This window comes from Homo sapiens, chromosome 1 (assembly GCF_000001405.40).
Source record: "Homo sapiens chromosome 1, GRCh38.p14 Primary Assembly".
NCBI lineage: Eukaryota > Metazoa > Chordata > Mammalia > Primates > Hominidae > Homo > Homo sapiens.
Genome location: NC_000001.11, coordinates 60,646,991 through 60,666,187, shown reverse-complemented (window position 1 = coordinate 60,666,187; position 19,197 = coordinate 60,646,991). Strand labels below are relative to the sequence as shown.

The 19,197-nt window shown below is 39.6% G+C and overlaps 1 long non-coding RNA gene across 1 annotated transcript in view; it reads left to right on the top strand.

The window, feature by feature from the left end:
* Nucleotides 1-6,557, top strand: part of LOC101926964 (uncharacterized) — a 165,954-nt gene extending 159,397 nt beyond the window's left edge. Inside the window, exons 5-6 of the long non-coding RNA NR_110628.1 lie at nucleotides 3,163-3,203; nucleotides 4,718-6,557. This is a non-coding gene — a long non-coding RNA (uncharacterized LOC101926964). The remainder of the gene's footprint in view (nucleotides 1-3,162; nucleotides 3,204-4,717) is intronic.
* The last annotated feature ends 12,640 nt before the right edge of the window (nucleotides 6,558-19,197 follow it).

Genomic DNA, 19,197 nt, shown 5'->3' with positions numbered 1-19,197 from the left:
AGCCATCACCAATCACGATTACCTGTTGAGAACTACCCTTGAAGGAGAAATGTTTATGGGATTTGAGTTTTCATATATTTTGAGTTTGGATAGCATTACCTCGACTCATACAGTATTAATTTTTTGTGTTTGTAATGATTAGATATATACAGAAAAGCAAATATTCAGGATGCTGATTGTGTCGTTAGAAATGTTGAATCCTGATGTACTATGGCAATCTTCAAGGCACTAGAAGAAAAATGGTTCCATAAGAATGAGGTAGTATCCCAGCTATCCAGCACTCTCTCCTCCACACTGCAGTTAACAGAGGCTTGTCCATCTTCGTATCCATACAAATACTCTCTTCTCTAACACACCTAATTTCCCTAGTGCTCTCCATCCCCAAATGGTCCTATATTCCTTCCTGTGCCATTGAAAAATCCAACATTTTACCAGACAGGAATGATCTTTTGAAATCAATTTGTATTAAGGAGTAAACTACTATTTTCTGCTTTACTTTCACAGGGAGGGTATGCATTTCTAGGGAGATTGGCAAAAATTAGTCTCTCATTGCTGATATTTCAGGAGTAGTGTAAAATGAAGCAAGCATTATTAAGCAGTGACAGGCAGTTTTTACAGCCTAATCATCATGAAGTGTTTGCATTACTCCACTCAGAATAACAGAGAATGATGGAGGGGGCTTGAGTTCTTGATAAGACATAGAACAGCCTTGGCAGCCCTGGATGCCAACCTCTGAACTTCTTGATTGAAGGAAAATCATTCCTAACCGAAATGGATGCCAATATTTTCCCCTGACAATGTACTTCCTCCAGAATCATGGATGTCAGGAGAATAAGAAGAGAAAGTGCATCTCTACCAGAAATAAAAAAAAAAAAAATTAGCCGGGTGTGGTGGTGGGCACCTGTAGTACCAGCTACGCAGGAGGCTGAGGCAGGAGAATGGCGTGAACCCAGGAGGCGGAGCTTGCAGTGAGCTGAGATCGTGCCACTGCACTCCACCCTGGGCGACAGAGTGAGACTCTGTCTCAAACAAAACAAAACAAAACAAAACAACAACAACAACCACAACAAAAAAAAAAAAAAGAAGAAGAGAGAGTATAAATTTAGAGGTTATGGGGCCAGGAGTACCATAGAAATACTTAGCAGTGGGTTAACTCTCATAAAGATATAAGGAATACGGTGGTCTGGCAACTGCAAACTAATCTACTCACCAAGAACATGACTTTGCAGAGGAATGGAACGAGGAGGTCTGTATAAAGTGTATTATTTCCAAACCAAAGTTTAGTTAAGACTTAGATGAGTTTAGCACCCAGGTTACCCTCATAAGTCCCAGACTATGGCCTCCCTGCCTCGCCCTCATCACCTGTGGCCTGACTAAGGATTTTAGTTCTCAAGTACACTTAAATTTAGTGCTTAACCCTGCATTTCAAGAAGATTAGTTGGGATCTGATGCCATCAGATCCTGCCATCCCCTCTTCTTATGGAGCTAGATTCAGACAGACCTCTTTGATTCACAGTGAGACCCTTCTATGACAATGATGCATCCCTTCCTAAAAGGCCCTGAATCTTTTCTCCACCTTTGAGACTCTTCCCTACCCCTGTTTGTTTACACAGGCCTTCATGACACCCCTACTACATGGCCTGCACATGCCTTCCTCATTTCCCCATCCCCAGTGCTCAGCGTGTGGCTTGGCACACATAAGGTGCTCAGTCTGTATAGAATGACTACATAAAATGACTTAGTAATTTGCTGAACTGGCTCCATCCTGGAGAAAAGACCAACTCCTGCTGCTCTGATTAATTTCCCTGCTTCTCATTGGCTTAAGTTTATGGCTACATAATCAAAACCACCCAGGACTGGGATAAGAGATAGATGCAACTCTTCCCAACTGAGGGAATGAGAGAATGGGACATGCCAAACATAACAAGATGCAGAGGAAAAGAAACAAGAACCTGCTATTATTACCAAATATTTCCAGTATTGGATGTTTTTCCTAAAGGGAAATTGAGCTAGGAGAACTCTACATCGGGGAGATGAGATAGTTGTTTATATTGGAAATGACTGAAGAGAGTAAAATAGATTGCTTTAAATCTAACATTCTGACATATATTGATCAAAACGTGATAAAATAAATTCTAACAATAACATTTCAATGGTAATTATATCCATGATGATTACTACAAACATCATTACATCACCTCCTCCTTTGCTACCACTATCACCACCATTTCTTGGACATCTATTATCTGGGACTAAGCTTCGTGATTTTACCAACATTACCTGATTTGATCCTATAAACTTGAGAGAGAGAGATCTCTTTTGCCCCAGGATCTATTTTCAAGGGAATCCAGCCTAAGATGTCAAGCCTTATGTTAGGCTAAGGATATGTTAGCCTATCTAAATAGGGATATTTGAGCTACCTGACAAAAACGAGTACAGTTATGGGGATAATGGGTTGAACAAATTTTAATACAATTTATATTTTTCTTCAAATTATGAAGGTAATACATTTGTTATAGAAAAAAAGAACAAAATTTATTATTAATAAGAACTCATTTTCTCTCTTCCTCATTGCCTTTCCTCACTCACCCACTCACAAATCCAAGTATTCTTTTTTTAAAAAAATTTATTTTTATTTTAAGTTCTGAGGTACATGTGCAGGATGTGCAGGTTTATTACATAGGTAAACATGTGTCATGGTGGTTTGCTGCACCTATCAACTCATCACCTAACTATTAAGCCCGGCATGCATAGCTATTTAATCCAAGTACTCTTAATGAGCGAAAGGTTTGATAAATTCATTCCCAAAGAGACTACTAGGGGACTTCTGCATTACCTTTTCCAGAGAGAAGTTTAGTCTCTTGCAGAAGTACTAAACTCCCAAGGCGGAGCTGGAACTAGAATTGATAGGAAGTTGAGGTAGAAGAGGCTCCCTAGTGGAGGAGACAGCTTTGAGTGAAGGTCTCTGAGATGCCCCTCGGGCTGCATCGTGGCGGCCCATTCTGCATGTGCTTCAGTCACATTCCAGATATGAGCATACGTGTGTACACCTGTGAGTGTGTCTGTGCATTGGAGAAGAGCAGTGAGCGCCATACAGCAAGAGATAATAAGGCACTTTTGCTGAGTAGTCCTTTCTACATGACCCTCTCCCTTATTTTCCAGGAAGCTCAAACTGAGGCAGAATCACAGCGATTTGGAAAATGGTGAGTTGCCAGCACCAGGCTTTCTCATTTTGGCTGGTGTCACAGCCACACTGAATATTTTCTTCCAAATTGTGAATGGGAACCCTTTGTCAGGGGAATTGGGTCCAAATGTGCTCACATTCTTACCTTTGCCAAGCGAAGCTTTTCATGACTACAGGATTGTTGAGGGATATGGTTTGAAAATAAATGTAGAGGTTCAGTGGCAAGGGCCAAGTTGTCATGGTACTCCACCTGTTTCTACTGCCTATGTCAACACAACAGCTACTGCTCTGAGCTTTGATGTTGCTGCTGAGGCAGGAAACACCATGGAGTCCTGAAATTCAGTGTGACACCTGTGAGTGGCTCCTGTGATTGCCTGGCAGGGCTGCAGACTGCACACATACATGCAAAGAGAGCTGCAGGCTCAACCTCTGCAATGTGACTCACATCTTAGGTGCTGCCAGGGATCTTGCTTCAGGTATCTAGAGATCTGACTTCAGGTACCCCGGAATTTGGCTTCCGGGTTGTTGCCAGGGGGCTGGGTAGTACCAGCTGCATGCGTACTAGCTGGGAAACAGCCAGCACCCTGGACTTCACCTTTTAAATCTCATTAGTAATAGGTGGTATGTGTGGTTGCTGCACAAAATGGACTTGAAATATCCAGGAAAAGTAAATCAAGACACCATTTCTTTCTTGTGGCTTGCTCTGAAAGCAGGATAACAGGCCTTATGTGGAGAGAGGTGTTGAAGATGAGTTGTATTTGTAATAGCAGTGAACAATAACAAAAATCCATTTCTGATCTGCAGACCTTAAATGTCTGGAGAGGTCAGATCAGATAAATGGCAGGAGTTCTAGACAGAGGGAAGATTTCCCATAGCCCAGCCATCCTGGGCTCCAAAGTGATTGAAATGAACTCCAGGGGCAGGCAGAGGAGACCCCAAAGAGGGGATACAGAGGGAGTGGGAGCAGATCTGGGTGGGTTGGCATCTGGGGTGGGGGCTTAGCTTAAGGACATTAGGCTTTAAATCTCATCATTTGACTTTTTCCCATCTTAGTCTTGGATTTAGAGACTCAAAGGTTTTTAACAGGAAACCCTCAAGATTGAGTGGCAGGAGGAGGCTATTTGTTTTTTTAAGTTTTGCTCTTTGGGTGGTAAGAAACAATGTGTCACCTTCATTACCAGAGAAAAAAAGGAGGTTTTCTTTAGGGAAACACTTGAATGGAAACTGAGAAGTTGTTGGGAAGTGAGGCAGCTCTAATGATTCCCCGCTTCTCCCTCATGGGCCTCAGTGTCCCACTACCCTCTCAGCGTTTGCTTTAGCCATAAGCACATCTACTCTATTCTTCTTTTGCTACCACCTGGATTTCGCATCGTCTTTGTTTCTGCTTGAAGCATCTTTGGCTTGCCCTTGGCTCTTCCTGATTATTCTGAGCCAGACTCTACCTTGGAAGCTGCCATTCCTAACATTATCTTAAGTTCTTAGCATTCCTTATTTCAACATTCCGAGAAAGGATGTCTGATTGTCTGCTTTTAGGTCCAATCAGCTATAGTGGAAGAGCAGAATCATTGAATATAAAACATGGAGATGTCAGCAGCAGGGGCTGTGAGCTGAACAGCTTCACTGGGAAGAGGATATGGGTGAGAAGGTACAGCAATGGGTACCTCCATTAACAGGTAAGCTGGATCCTCCATAGGAATAGGCACTAGCTGGTTTTGGATGAAGGTGTCGTAAGATCAGATACACTTTTGGGTGATCAGCATGATCTGGGTATGGACATGGCAGAGCAGGTGGAAGGGAAGGGACCAATATGTGTCAATAACCATCTATGAGCCAGGCACTTACCGGGAAGTATAATGTCTTTGTAGTTAGACAGACCAGTAGTGTCTGTTGCTCTGGAGGAAGTTACTTAAACTCACCAAGACTCAGTTTTCTCTGTATTAAAATGATGACACCTACCTCACTATCTGGCCATTGGGATTAAATATGAGAATATGTGTGAAAATTTATGTCATATGGTAAGCACTCAGATGTTTCCTGGTGGAACAGCATGGTGTGGATTAGGAACATCCAAACTCTGACATCAAGCTGAACTTTTGAAATAGAGGCCTCCCTGCTCACTAGTTGGGCAACCTTGAACAAGCTAGTTAAACTGTCTAGAGCTCAGTTTTGTTATCTGGTGAGATTAATAGCATTGAATGGTGTAAAGCACATTCTCAGTAAATGCTCATTATTATGATTATAGTTATTAATGTTTATTTAACTTTGAAATAATAATGTGTAGGAGCTCCTCAGGTAGATAATGGAAATAAGAAATTTCTTAGGTCATGGAAGCATGGAGGTATGGAAAATTTTGGAGAACAAAGAGGAGTCTGGTGAAGTAGGGTGGGGATACTGGGCAGATGCAAAGATTGCCAAGGGTTATATCATAAAGGCCGGGATACCAGCCTGGCATCAACTGCCTTAGATTGGGAAGATGCAAAACTGTGGTCTGGAGTCAGCCCTGCAGAAGCCTGTTTCCTGACTTTCCATCTTCAATCTCTTTTCTATGCAGTTACCAGAGTCATGTTTTGAAATCTCAAATCTGAGCATCTATCCTCAAATAGAGGCCTACATGGCTTCCAGTTCCTCCAGGAGAAGGTCCAAATCCCTTAAGATGACTTTAAGGCCCTCAAGTGTTCCAGGCTCTGTACGTTCTTGTGCCACAACTATGCCACAACAAAACAGTTTTTCCCCCATTTCTACTTTGTTTTTCCAGCTGTAGAGTCAAAGCCTCAAGAAGGGGAAAGGGACGAATGGACACCAGGTCATGTGCCAGGTAGCTGGGAAATGAATACTTCTATTTTCTATTCTTTTTTTTTTTTTTTTTTTTTTGAGATGGAGTCTCACACTGTTGCCCGGGCTGGAGTGCAATGGCGCAATCTCAGCTAACTGCAACCTCTGCCTCCCAGGTTCACAGATTCTCCTGCCTCAGCCTCCCGAGTAGCCGGGATTACAGGTGCGCACCACCACGTCTGGCTAATTTTTTGTATTTTTTAGTAGAGACGGGGTTTCCCTATGTTGGCCATACTGGTTTCAAACTCCTGACCTCGTGATCCGCCTGCCTCGGCCTCCCAAAGTGCTGGGATTACAGGTGTGAGCCACCGCACCTGGCCAAATACTTCTATTTTCATCTCTTAGGAAAGCATATGATGTAAATCACTGTTCCCATATTCAAATTTAAATAATGGCTTACCTTTCCGGGGATGTTTGTATTTGAATGAAGCAGCAAGTTTTTGCCACACTGTAATACTTTAACTTTACAGATATTTTGACTCCTTCTGTTTCTGATTTGCTTTCATAAATGAATAAAAATACATTATTTTACATCAAATTCACATGAGGTATTATTAATTGAAATAAAATAACAGAAAATTGGGAATGGCTATAACTTTCCATTATTAAATGTATTAGAGGTGAAAAAAATTGGTAAAGTTGAAAAATGTAAAAATCAACTAGGGAAATAGTAGTTTCTGGAGAAATAACCCAACAAAACCATCAAAGGCTAGAGCATGACATGGTAAAAAAAATTATTGGTAAAATATTGATAGTGAAAAAGATCATTTTGGAAAAATTTATAAATGCAAAATCGAATTAAAAAATTAGACTGGCCCAGGTGCAGTGGCTCACGCCTGTAATCCCAGCACTTTGGGAGGCCAAGGCGGACAGATCACCTGAGTCAGGAGTTCGAGACCAGCCCGACCAATATCGTGAAACCTCATCTCTACTAAAAATACAAAAATTAGCTGAGCATGGTGGCACGTGCCTGTAATCCCAGCTACTTGGGGGGCTGAGACAGGAGAATTGCTTGAACCCGGAAGGCATAAGTTGCAGTGAGCCAAGATCGCACCACTGCACTCCAGCCTGGGCAACAGAGTAAGACTCTATCTCAAAAAAAAAAAAAAAAAAAAAATAGACTTTGTGGAAATAATGGCCCCCAGAGAAAACTTACAAAGACAGAAACTTTTCTCATTTAATTTGATGTGGGCAAAAAAAATGAATGAAAGCTGTATCAAAAATAAATGTACATGGAAAACAGTGGATATTCATGAAAAATAATTTTAGTAAGATAGAAATAAAGATGATTAAAATACTACTAAATAGAAAATTGGTCCAAGAATTAAAATGGCTTAATTCTCCCAGAGAAATAATGTCTTTTTCATTCAGGAAAATTCACCAATACTGGTATAATTCTGGGGCAATGTTTGTATTTATGAGCATTGAGTTAAGACAATTTCTGGGTCACTACATTTTGATTGAATTCAGCAATTGTCAGCCAGAAATTGTACCACTCATTTACTGGGCAATAACACTATACAACTACTTACTAGAAAAGGAGCTTCTGGCTAAAATCTTTTTCTGAACCCAAGAGAATTGCAAGGATTTATCCATTTCTTCTGGGTAGATAGTTTGATTCTGAGAGTAAGCTGCAATGCGATGTGCTACTGACATGAGACCGTTCCCAATGGGAAGAACAGCAATCTCACTCCGTGATCTGGAAGCATACAGAAAAGCCTGTCTTCTTCAAAGGCATTTGGAGGTAAGCACCTCAATCCTGCTCCGACTGAGCTTCTTGGAGTGTCCCAAGGAATCGCCAACTCTCAGTCTCTTCTGTCATTCCCTTAAATTATTTCTCCTCTCTTCTCTGTTGCTGGGAACACAAATAGGACTGAAGGATCCTGGGGATTTGCTCCCTGCAGTTGGCAAAGCAGTGATATGATATGGAGTCTTAGTATTTAGAAGTAACACACATAGGGCACCTCCTCAATATAGCCCCACAGACATTGCCTGCTAATTTCCTTTGCTGCATCATTATCAGCACACAAAAGCATTTACTAGGATCTCTTTGAAAACGCTTCATTGTGACACTGGGCACAATGAAGGGAACAGATGTGATGGGCCAACCTCCAGGGGTTTGCAATCCAAGGCAGAAGGACAGACAGTGCAAACACACATGAGCGCTCAGGCATAACCTGCAAGCCAGGACACAGGTATGACAGTCGGGTTTGACACAGTGTGGGAACCACAGAGCAGCGGTCTTGCTTTTACATAAGGATGCTTCTTCTTACCACAGGGTTCCCCTAGGGCTCCTTTAACAACAAGCCCTCTTCTTGCATTTTTAATGGGATCTGATTTAAAATTATGCTTTGAAAATAACTTATGCGGGAACATATTGACTGCATACAGCTCATGATGTTGGTATAGGGAGAGGTGGCCAATACTGAATATGCCAGGCAAGAAATGTAAACTTCTGTTTACATAATACACAACCCAAGGGGCTCCTTCCATTGTGTAGAAGCATCAAAAAACCTGGTTCATTCTGTGCCTAGCAGAACACCTGGTCTGTGTTTGTTGGTCAAATAGTATTTATTAAATGAAATAATTAAATAATTACAAACAAAATGTCTACTCCATTCATAGGTAAGACGAATAAAACACATTTCTGTTTTCTACTTTTTCTTTCTTCTCCACCTTCCTCTTTTCCCTTGTTACTCCTTCTTTTTTTCCTTGCTTTTCTTCTCCTCTCCTTCTTCCTCCTCCTTTGATTCCTCTTCCTTGTCTTAACATTTCTCATTTTAAAGTGTGAACTTATTTTGGTATATGGTATAAATTGAGCCTTTGCACATTTTCCCCAGGGTGTTAATAACTTCCCTAATGCCACTTATTAAATAAGTGGTCCTTCCTCGGACCACTGATTTAAGTCTTTTCCTGACAGGGGCTCTAGTTTATCAATCTTTATGTCTCCAGTGCCTGCTGCAAAACCTAGAGATACTTGTGGGTATATGATGCTATATGATGTACTTAGGTTCTTTTTGGGTGTATGGTGTATTTGTGTTATGAAGTATGGTGTATGGCATATTTGTGTTGCCACACTTAGCACTTGTCATGGGAAGAATTATGCTTCCCCCAAACCAACTTCATATGTTGAAAGTTTTAAACCCTAGTACCTCAGAATGTGACTGTATTTGGAGATATTTTTAAACAGGTGACTATGTTAAAGTCATGTAATTAGGGAGGGCCCTAAGCCAATACAACTGATCTCATAAGAAGAAAAAATTTACACACAGCCATGCACAGAAGGAAGACTACATGAAGATACCGGGAGAAGACAGCCATCTATGAGCCGATAGAGGGGCCTCAGAAGAAGCCAGCTCTGCTACACCTTGATCTTGAACTTCCAGCCTCCAGAACTGTGAGAAAATAAATTTCTGCTGCTTGAGCCATGCAGTTTGTGGTACTCTGGTAGGCAGCCCTAATAAACTAACACAGCAACTATAAAAGTAACTTATTTTTATATTAGGGCCTATCTGTCTGTGAGCTATCAACTTCATTACTTTGAAATATCTGACTATGCTTTCAATAAGATTATTATATCATTTCAAATATGTAACATATTCTTAGAAAAAAATGAAGGAAATATAGAAAAATGTGAATTATGCTTATCTCTGACTGTGAGATTTTGGGTTATTGTACTTTTTTCTATGTCTCTTCCAGTGTTTTCCAGATTTTCTATAATAAGCATGATTACTTTTCTAAATAAGGAAAGTAGCTATTTAAAAGTTATATTAAGGTGCTATTGTGTGTATCAGATGGTGGCCTAAGAAGTGAAAAAGGGGAGGTTTGCATGTAGATAAGTTTTGCAACCTCTGAGGCTCCTTAAACATTTTTGAATTGCTGTAGCCTAGGCTTGTTTTGTAAAAAGTGCTTGTTGCTGAAAATGATGATTTGTTTGGATAAACCCCCTCCTCATTTTTTGGGTGGTGGGGGAGCTTTTTATTGCATAGTCACAATGGGAGGCATTGTTCACACAGACCAGCATCGTCATACTTCTATTCTTGTCACTGACAGTATTATTTGCAACTGCTTTTTTTCCAGCCTCTTCTAATTTCCACACTACCACTTATTGTATTTCATTAAAGCTGGGTTAGAAATGCAAGGCATATAATTAGATTGAGAACTATGCTATCGATTTGGTTTTCCATTATGATGTTATCACATGCACAAAAAAGTCATTTGGTACAATTGTTATGATTAAAACTACAAAAGAGATCTATTACATCAGACTTAGTTTTCAGTGCCTGATGCAGTGTAAAATAAGAGTGAGAGGGGTTGATCTGTTTATATTAGAGCTGCATATGCCATGTAACCATAAATGTCTGTAGGCTAATAATTTCAAAGGAACCTTTAGTAGATGAGAGGTTTTTTAGAAATTCATATTAAATAAAAGTCAATCAATACTTCAATACTCAATTTCTAAGGTGGTGGTGGATGATAATCCTTTTCCAGCTCTGCACTATGCAAAGACTCATGCTCCACATTTGCAGCTTTCTATTGCAGGGAGGCTAGGAGGGGCAAAGATGGATTTTGGCATTAGACAGAAGTGGGGTCAAGTCACAGTTCCATTGCTGCTTAGGAGAAGGCAGGATCATTATTTAATTCATATCTACCATGAGCCGGGCTTAATAGACATTATCTCTGTCAATTCCTACAAAGCTGTGAGGTTACTGGTTCAAGTTCATGTAGCTAGTAATTGATACGATTTTAGTTCCCTTCATCCCTAAATGTCCATGTACTCTCTGCAGTAATATTCTCTTTCTCTTTTGTTGAATAATGTTGGATAAGTTACTTAATGTTTCTGAGTCTTAGTTTTCTCATCTGATAAACAAGAACAATAACGTCCCTTCGTAAAGATGGTTTTGATTATTAAATGAATTAACATCTCTGTAAAACTGAGCATTGTGCTTGGCACATAATAAGTACCCAGTAAACACACTTATCTTTCTCTGCTTCTCAGTAAGTTCCCCCACAATCCCAGGGGTAACCTTGGAGTTATACTGGGTTAGAGGAATGACACTGATTTTCCTCATCTCTGCAAATGTAGGTAATGAAAAGGTTAAAAAAAAACAAGATCACTGATGTAGAAAGACCTTGTTTAATAGAATAATATGGGAACTAACTACAAAGCTTATCTTATAGCTATGCTTAAGTTGGTTTTGATAATCTACAAAATTGATTTAAAAGTATTTATTAAGCACCTAGTGCATCACAGACATGGGGGCTGGACAGATTCTCATGTACATGCTGTTTAATTTTTTTCCAACCACTTTCTGGGGGACATAGTTGAAGAAACTGGGACCCAGAGAAGGTGGAATAATTTGAGCAGTGACTTGGAGAATGATTACAGTTTCCACAAACAGAAATAAAGGTATGTACAGGGATCTTACATAAAGTGATATTGGGCTACATTTGATCTTTCTAGTTGTTTTGAGTAAAACAGTCAATTAGTCAGTTAAGTGGTGACTTAACTGCAATGTCTAGAGTAGGAGCTAGGTATGGCTGAACCCAAAAAAGGCTCAAATCAGAGTTATTGGATGGCTCATTCCTGTGACTTCTCTGCTTTGTTTCTGGTTGTCCCCATTTTCAGGAAAGTTGACTTATACCCCCATTTTCTCAGAAACATCAACATAAGGATAGTACCCCTTTTCTAGTCAATTCATGAAATTTCCCAAGACATTCTCTGATTAGACTTAGTTGAATTATGTGCTCATCCTGGATCTACTGCTGAAGCTAGGGTGATAGAATACACTGATGGGTCAGGCTTGGGTCACATGCCTAGCCTGGATTTGGGAGCAGAATCCACTTGAACAGAATTCATGGATGGAGAGTTGGGAGGGGTGGTGTAGCAGATACTCTCAGTGTTCTGCCCATACTTCCTAGGATCTCAGCAACATTTCCCTATATCTTTTTGTCAGGCAGCTGCCCTCAGGTTGTCAGAACCTGCTTTGCCTGTGCCCATGGAGAGCAGAGAATTTATGTGTCCCTAAAGGCGGCCCTTAGGAGTGGTAAGGGTGGGGTATGAATACTCTAGCTCCTTTCTCTTGGTGGAAACATCTCTCTCAGGTGTGTTCTATACTGTTTCTAGAGCTTCTCTGTGGAATTGAGCTAAAGTCATCTACTTGGGTTTATGATACTAAATATTTTCTAGTTGCACTTAACCACACCCTTACCGGTTTTCTTGGGAATAATTCTAAATAAATCACTTTCCCATGAGTCCTTGTTACAGGGTCTGCTTCTGGGGAACCTAATCTGAGAGATTTCTCCAAGGAAAAGTTGGGTACCTTAATTAGTCAGTTATTGCTGCACTAGAGCTAAATAAAAGACATAAATATCTAAGGCACTTACTGGAATAAACATCTTATTTCCGCTAAGAGGTTGGCTAGGGAAGCTCTGCTTCAGAGTATGGGTTGAGTATAAGCCTGTTCCACATGTCTTTTGCTCTGGGACCAGGCGTTGTGCAGCCCATCCTTTTCTCAAGACAAAAGCCAAGCCAAGCAAGGACATTTAAAGCTTCACTTCTGCTCACATCATATCTATTGGCCAAACATTCCATTGGCCAAAGCAAATCACATGGCCAAGTCAAGCATCAGTAGTCTGGGGAATATTCTTCCTCTACTCTAGACACATGGAAAAGGTTATGCATACTAATTCTATATCAGGAGAGAATGAGGAATTGGGAACTGTAACCCAATCCGCAACATTTCAATTGGAAGAAATTACTCCGCAGGCAAGAAATATTTTTCCTCCAGGAGATACTCTGCAGGCATAACCAGCAGATGTCTACCCTGATTTACAGTAAGTCATGTGTGATAGGCTGAGTAATGGCTCACAAAGATGATCGTGTTGTAATTCCCAGAACCTGTGGATATGTACCTTGTGTGGCAAAAGGAACTGCACGGATGCCATTAAAATATGGATCTTGAGATGGGGAGATTTTCCTGGATTATAGGTTGGCACAATGTAATTATAAGCGTCCTTATAAGATGAAGGCAGGAAGTCAGAAAGGAGAGAAGATGTTGCTCTGATGGCTTTGAAGTTGAAGGAAGAGGCCATGACCCAAGGAATGGTGGCAGCTTCTAGAAAGTAGCTAAGGCAAGGAATGGATTATTTCCTGGAGCCTCTAAAAGGAACCAGTCCTGGCAACACCTTAATTTTAGTCCCATAAGACTCCTCACAGACTTTTGACTTCCAGAACTAGAAGAGAATAAATGTGTGTTAGTTCAAGCCACTAAGTTTATGGTAATATTGGCTGGCAATAGGAAACTAATACACCACGTGGTTTACATATTTTAAAATACTTTAATCCTGTAAAGTAGACATTATTTTTACCATTTTAAGGCTGAATAACTTGAAGTTCCAATACATGAAATGATTGGCCCAAGGCCATATAGGTGACAAGTATCAGAGTTAGCATTCAAATGCAGGTCAAACTTCAATATTAATGCCGTTGCCATTGAAACACTATTTTAGCTTCTGTTTTCTGCTAGTGAGTAAATTAAGGAATGAACTCAGAGAACTCTAGACCATTCTTAATTCAGCAGGAGATGGGGGCAAATGAAACTTCTTCAACAATTGCCCTGGTCTTTGTGGTAGAGACTATATAAGTCTTTCCTCAAGTTTGTGACACATACAGCGATGAGCTCTTTGGGAATGAAGAGAAGGTGCCTCTGAGTATGGTGTTATGGCCTGAATTAAGTCTTCTCAAAATTTATATGGTGAAGCTCTAACTCCCAACCTGACTGTATTTGGAGATAGAGCACCTAAAGAGGTAATTAAGGTAAAATGTTGTTATAAGGGAAGGGCCCTAATTGAATAGAACTGGTGTCATTATAAGAAGAGGAAGACATGAGGCATGGGCGTGCACAGAGGTAAGATCATGCAAAGAGGCAGCAAGAGAGTGACCATCTGCCACCCAATGAGAGAAGCCTCAGAAGAAACCAAACCTGCAGGGACTTTGGTCTTGGACTTCCAGCCTCCAAAACAGTGAGAAATAAATTTCTGTCGTTTAAGCCACCCAGTCTGTAGTATTTTGTTATGGCAGCCCAAGCAGACTAAATACGGATGACATCTGACCTCTTTTGCCTTTCTGGAAGCTTCAAATCATATTAGGTTTGTTCTTAAAGTTTTAATAATTCATGCCTTTTACAATGGTAAACATTTGTACTTCATTTAAAGAAGACAGCTGTGTAGATTAATTCAAATTGATGTGATTCGAGAGCAGGCTATCTTTTCATACCGTAAAGAAGAGTGAGAGAAGAAAAGGTCTCAAAAATGTGTAGGCAAGTAGGGAAGTGTGCTGTAGAGAAAGTATCAGGTTTTTTGTTTTGTTTTAATACCCCTGACACTGAATGGGTATCATAAAGTTGTTCTTTTCACATTAGTATGAGCAGCGGCAGGGCCGCAGTCGACATCCTGAGGGTCTTGGGAGAAAAAAATGTGTGGAGAGTAATTTAACCAGAAAGAGGCTACCGCATTCTCAAAAAGACATTAAAGAAATTGCAAACAGGCAAGTATAAAATATTTATTGCACTCCAACTCTGGGCCATGCAAGGTGTGGAGTCATCTATTGAGTTACTATTTATAGAGTTTTTATTAATGAGTTGTAATAGTTTATTAATTAGGGCAATTCTAGTTGCAGTAACAAACAAATGCCAATACATTAGTAGATAAGCTTAGGAGAAACTTGTCTCTCGATCTGAATATAGTCCAAGGAAGCATTCCTGTAGGTGGTAGGATTTTTTTCCATGTGGTGATTTGGCGATCAGGGCTCCAATTTTTTGCTCAATGATTCTTGAGGAACCTTCTCTAGAACAAAGAGAAAAGGGGGGAAATGGCACACTGGCTGCCATTTTCATAAGTGATGCTCTGTACTTCTTGCATTTCATTGCTGAGAACTGGTCACATATCTTTAAAAATTCATGTTTTTTTTTTTAACTATGTGGAGTTGTCTTTGGAAAGCAGCTGTCCAGGCAGGTACTACAAAATCCCCTCTTGTGTAACGCAGAAACCATATTACAAGTACTCACTAACAACAAGTGAATGAAAGTGATGTACGTCACACCTGAGCCAAAATGGTTAAAAGTGGGTATAGTTTTTTACCCTCTTATTTGCTTACAGCGGAAGGCCCTGGGACATGGAAGAACCCCTAAATAAAGGAACCTGGGGTTCTGAATGACTGTATAGAATGCTTCCTTCCTCATTTATCAAGACTACCTGCATTTTACTGCAGGTGAACTGGAATAAACTTTTATTGTGTTTGTCAACAAAATGTTGGAATGGCCTTGCTACAGTGGCTAAGATCGCTCAAACAAATATTCATGGCCTCATCTGAAAGCAAGAGATGATGGTAAATATGATCTCAGGTTGGCCAACCACTTCTCATTGAAAGCTGTTTCAATACTTTGGAAACAGGAGTGCAGCTTTTAGGTGCTCAGTTAGCTGACTCTACACAAACACCTTTCACAGTGCCTGACTTTACTGAATGAATAAATGAATGGCCCACATTTAAGTGGATGCCCTCCTCTGGGAAGCTCTGTGCACGTTGATGTAGCTATTAAAAATTGACTACAGGACTTTTTACAAACATGTTAAGCTATTTATATACGTTATTTTATTAATACTGGTGATAATCCAGTTAATTAAATTTCATTTTATTGCATTCATTTATTTTTAAAATTGTGTCTTCCTTTTTGAACTGTGAGATTTTTGTTGTCACGATTGGTGCCCTTGGTTGCCGGTGCAGTGCATAGCACATGGCAAAGACTCAGTGTCTGTTGAATGAATACATGCTTGGGCAGATGGATGGACAGATACAGGATAGACATGAGGCCAACTGTGTGTGATATAGGGTCTAAATGCCAGGACCGAGGGGCAAAAAAGAGTAAAAGAAAAATAAATAGGCATTTTCACTAGGTGAGGAGTGGGTGCTGGATGGTAAACTGGCCTCAGGCATTGGGAGAAAGTCCAGTCAATAACTTCAAGCACAAATCAGAAATATGTGGTTTGGGGCAACAGTCTAAGCAAGGGATGAGTAGGTCTTCAGAGCTGAGGGATCTGGGAGTTGTCTTCAGGTCCTTCAGGCAAATACTCATGAGTCTGCTAGGCTAGACATTTCTGGCCTAAAAAGGTGCTGATTTAGTAAAAAGTCATGTATCTAAAATGTTTGGTTATCTAAGATTGAAGAGTAATCAGACATTTCTGGCTAATGTCAGCACTTTATATTTTTCAAACATCAGATGTATGATTTAAAGTAATCATGCTCCTCAGTCTAGTTCACTCTCATCATCAGTCTTCGTAGGTGCCCTTTAGGTTTTGCTATATTTTACTACTTGCTCTTTTTGTTCTTTCTCTCCACCTTTACCATCTCTTCCCCCTCCTCAATTACCACCACAATGGTATATTTGATATGTGCCCTCTAAACCACCTGTCACAGAAGAGGTGGTAGAGCACGCTGTTTAAGAATGCAGGTTTAGGAGACCAGGCTCAACTCCTCACCCTGCCAGACTGCATTGTGTGACCTGAGGCAAGCTGTTTAGCTTCTCTGTACCTCAGTTTCTTAATCTGTGTATGATTATTCACTGAATTAAATAGATTAATATATATATATATATATATATAGTATAAAATTGATTAGTACCTGGGGCATAGAGTGCTTGTAAACCATTGAAAATGTACCTATTGTTTATGTTTTTAAATAAATAGATGTATAAAGAGTAAATATAATTTTGTTTACTTTTTTCATTGAAGACTGAATTTTTTTAAACCTATGCCTTTTTCAATATGCATCTAGGTTCATTATTTCTAAATGTTGTGTAATATTTCATTCTATGCGAGGCCACTTTATATCTATTCATTATCTCAATATTGAACACCTAGGTTGTCTTCAGCTCCTGGCTATGACAGGTAGTGCTGCTATAAATATCAACATCTGTATCTTAAGATTTTTCTCGATGGTCTTTTAATGTTATAAAATTATTAATCAATTTTTTTGATAGGTCAGGAATCATGATGATTATTTTGTATTATGCTTTAAGATTTGGTAGCCAATATTTTATTTTAGATTTTTAAAATCTATATTTAAATAAGTATTTTATCTTAGAATAGTTTTGTATTTACAGAAGACTTGCACAGAAAGTACAGAGAGCGCCTGTACACACCACACCCAATCTTTCCCATTGTCAATAGCTTACATTAGTAGGGCGCTTTTGTCACAACTAATGAACCCATATTGACACATTGCTGTTAACTAAACTCCATACTATATTTGCATTTCATTAGTTTTTCTTAATATCCTTTTATTGTTCTAGAATCCCACTCATAATTCCACATTCTATTTAGTTTTCATGTCTCCTTAATTTCTCCTGGACTATGACATAACTTGTTTTTGATGACGTTGATTGTTATGAGGAATATTGGTCAGGTATTTTATGGAATGTGATACCAATCATCTGGTGTTTTCTCATGGTTAGATTGGGCTTATGATTTTTTAGGAGGAAGACCAAAGAGGTGAAGTGTCATTCTTATCCCCTTATATTAAGCGTATATACTATCAACATGACATAGCTGATGATATTAACCTTGCTCACCCGGCTGAGGTAGTATTTGCCAAGCTTCTGCACTAAAAAATTATTTTCTCTTCCCTCCTTTTCATACCATACTCTTTGGAATCAAGTCACTAAGCACAGTCCACACTCAAGGGGTGGGGAGTCCGTCTCCATTTCCTTAATAGGCAGTATCTACATACATTATTTGGAATTCCTTTGTATGGTAGATTTGTCTCTTCTCCCTCATTTCTTTATTTGATTCTTATGTATATTGTTATGGATCCATAAATTTCTAGTTTATAGTTTGGCTTATAATCCAGTACTCTTTTATTTGTGTTGTTGCTCAAATTATTCCAACTTTGATCTTTGCAAGCTCTTTTAATGGGCTCTTATGTCCTTTTGACATACTCCTATCATTGTGTGTGACTTTCTGGTACTATACGATGCTTCAGATGTATCTTGTATATTCTCTACTGTAGTCCTAGAATCAGCCATTTTCTCAAGGTTACATGTATGGTTTGGATCCTTGTCCCCTCCAAATCTTACATTGAAATACAATCCCCAGTGTTGGAGGTGAGGCCTAGTGGAAGGTGTCTGAGTCACGGGGCCAGATCCCTCATGAAGCGTCCTCCCTGCATTAATGAGTTCTCACCCTATTAGTTCATGAGACAGCTGATTGTTTGAAAGAGCCTCGAATCTCTGTTGTTCCCTCTCTTACCATGTGGCATGCCTGCTCCCTTTGCCTTCTGCCATGAGTGGAAGTTTCCTGAGGGCTTCAGCAGAAGCAACGCTAGTGCCATGCTTGTACAGCCTGCAGAACTGTGAGCCAAAAAAAACTCTTTTCTTTATAGATTACCCAGCTCAGGTATTCCTTTATAGCAATACAAATAGACTAGTACAGATCCCTAGTTCCTTTTATTGGAGGATGATGATAGAAACCAAAATCTGAGAACTGGATATGATCATTGCTACTGGGTATAATTGCTTCCAGGCCCTTTCCACAGACAGTTAAAAAATACATGTATGTATATTAAGCTGTGTGTGTATGCGTGTGTACATGTGTGTGTATTTCTATCTCTATAATTATTTCTATCTGTATTAGTATTAAGCTAAATATGAGCTTATAGTGATATTTCCAACCCTAACCCAGCCCACATGATTCATTATAGTCTTCTGCCTATGCTAGCCTGTTATGTCACTCTCCAACAGTGAGAAACCTGGTTCCGCCATCCAACATTGTTGTACTAATTTGTTTAATCCTAGTATATATGTACAGTAGTTTTAGAATTGTTAACCCATCCTTCTGTGAGAAACAACTTGGCCAACTAAAGGACAGTGCTTGTGTTTGTAGTCTTATACTTCCCAGTCATTTCTAAAGTTACTTAGGTCAGCATTATTATTATTATTATTATTATTATTATTTGGCCACTCTCTTCAGAGAGGTTATGCCATACCTCTGTAGTACAATTATATACTTTTGTCTTTGTCTGAATTTCATCCTGTGATTCCCCCAATGCTTTAATTAATTTTTTTTAAAAATAAGGCTTACTTTTTGGGCTGTTAAAATCTATTTTGGGGTTTCAGCAAATATATGGT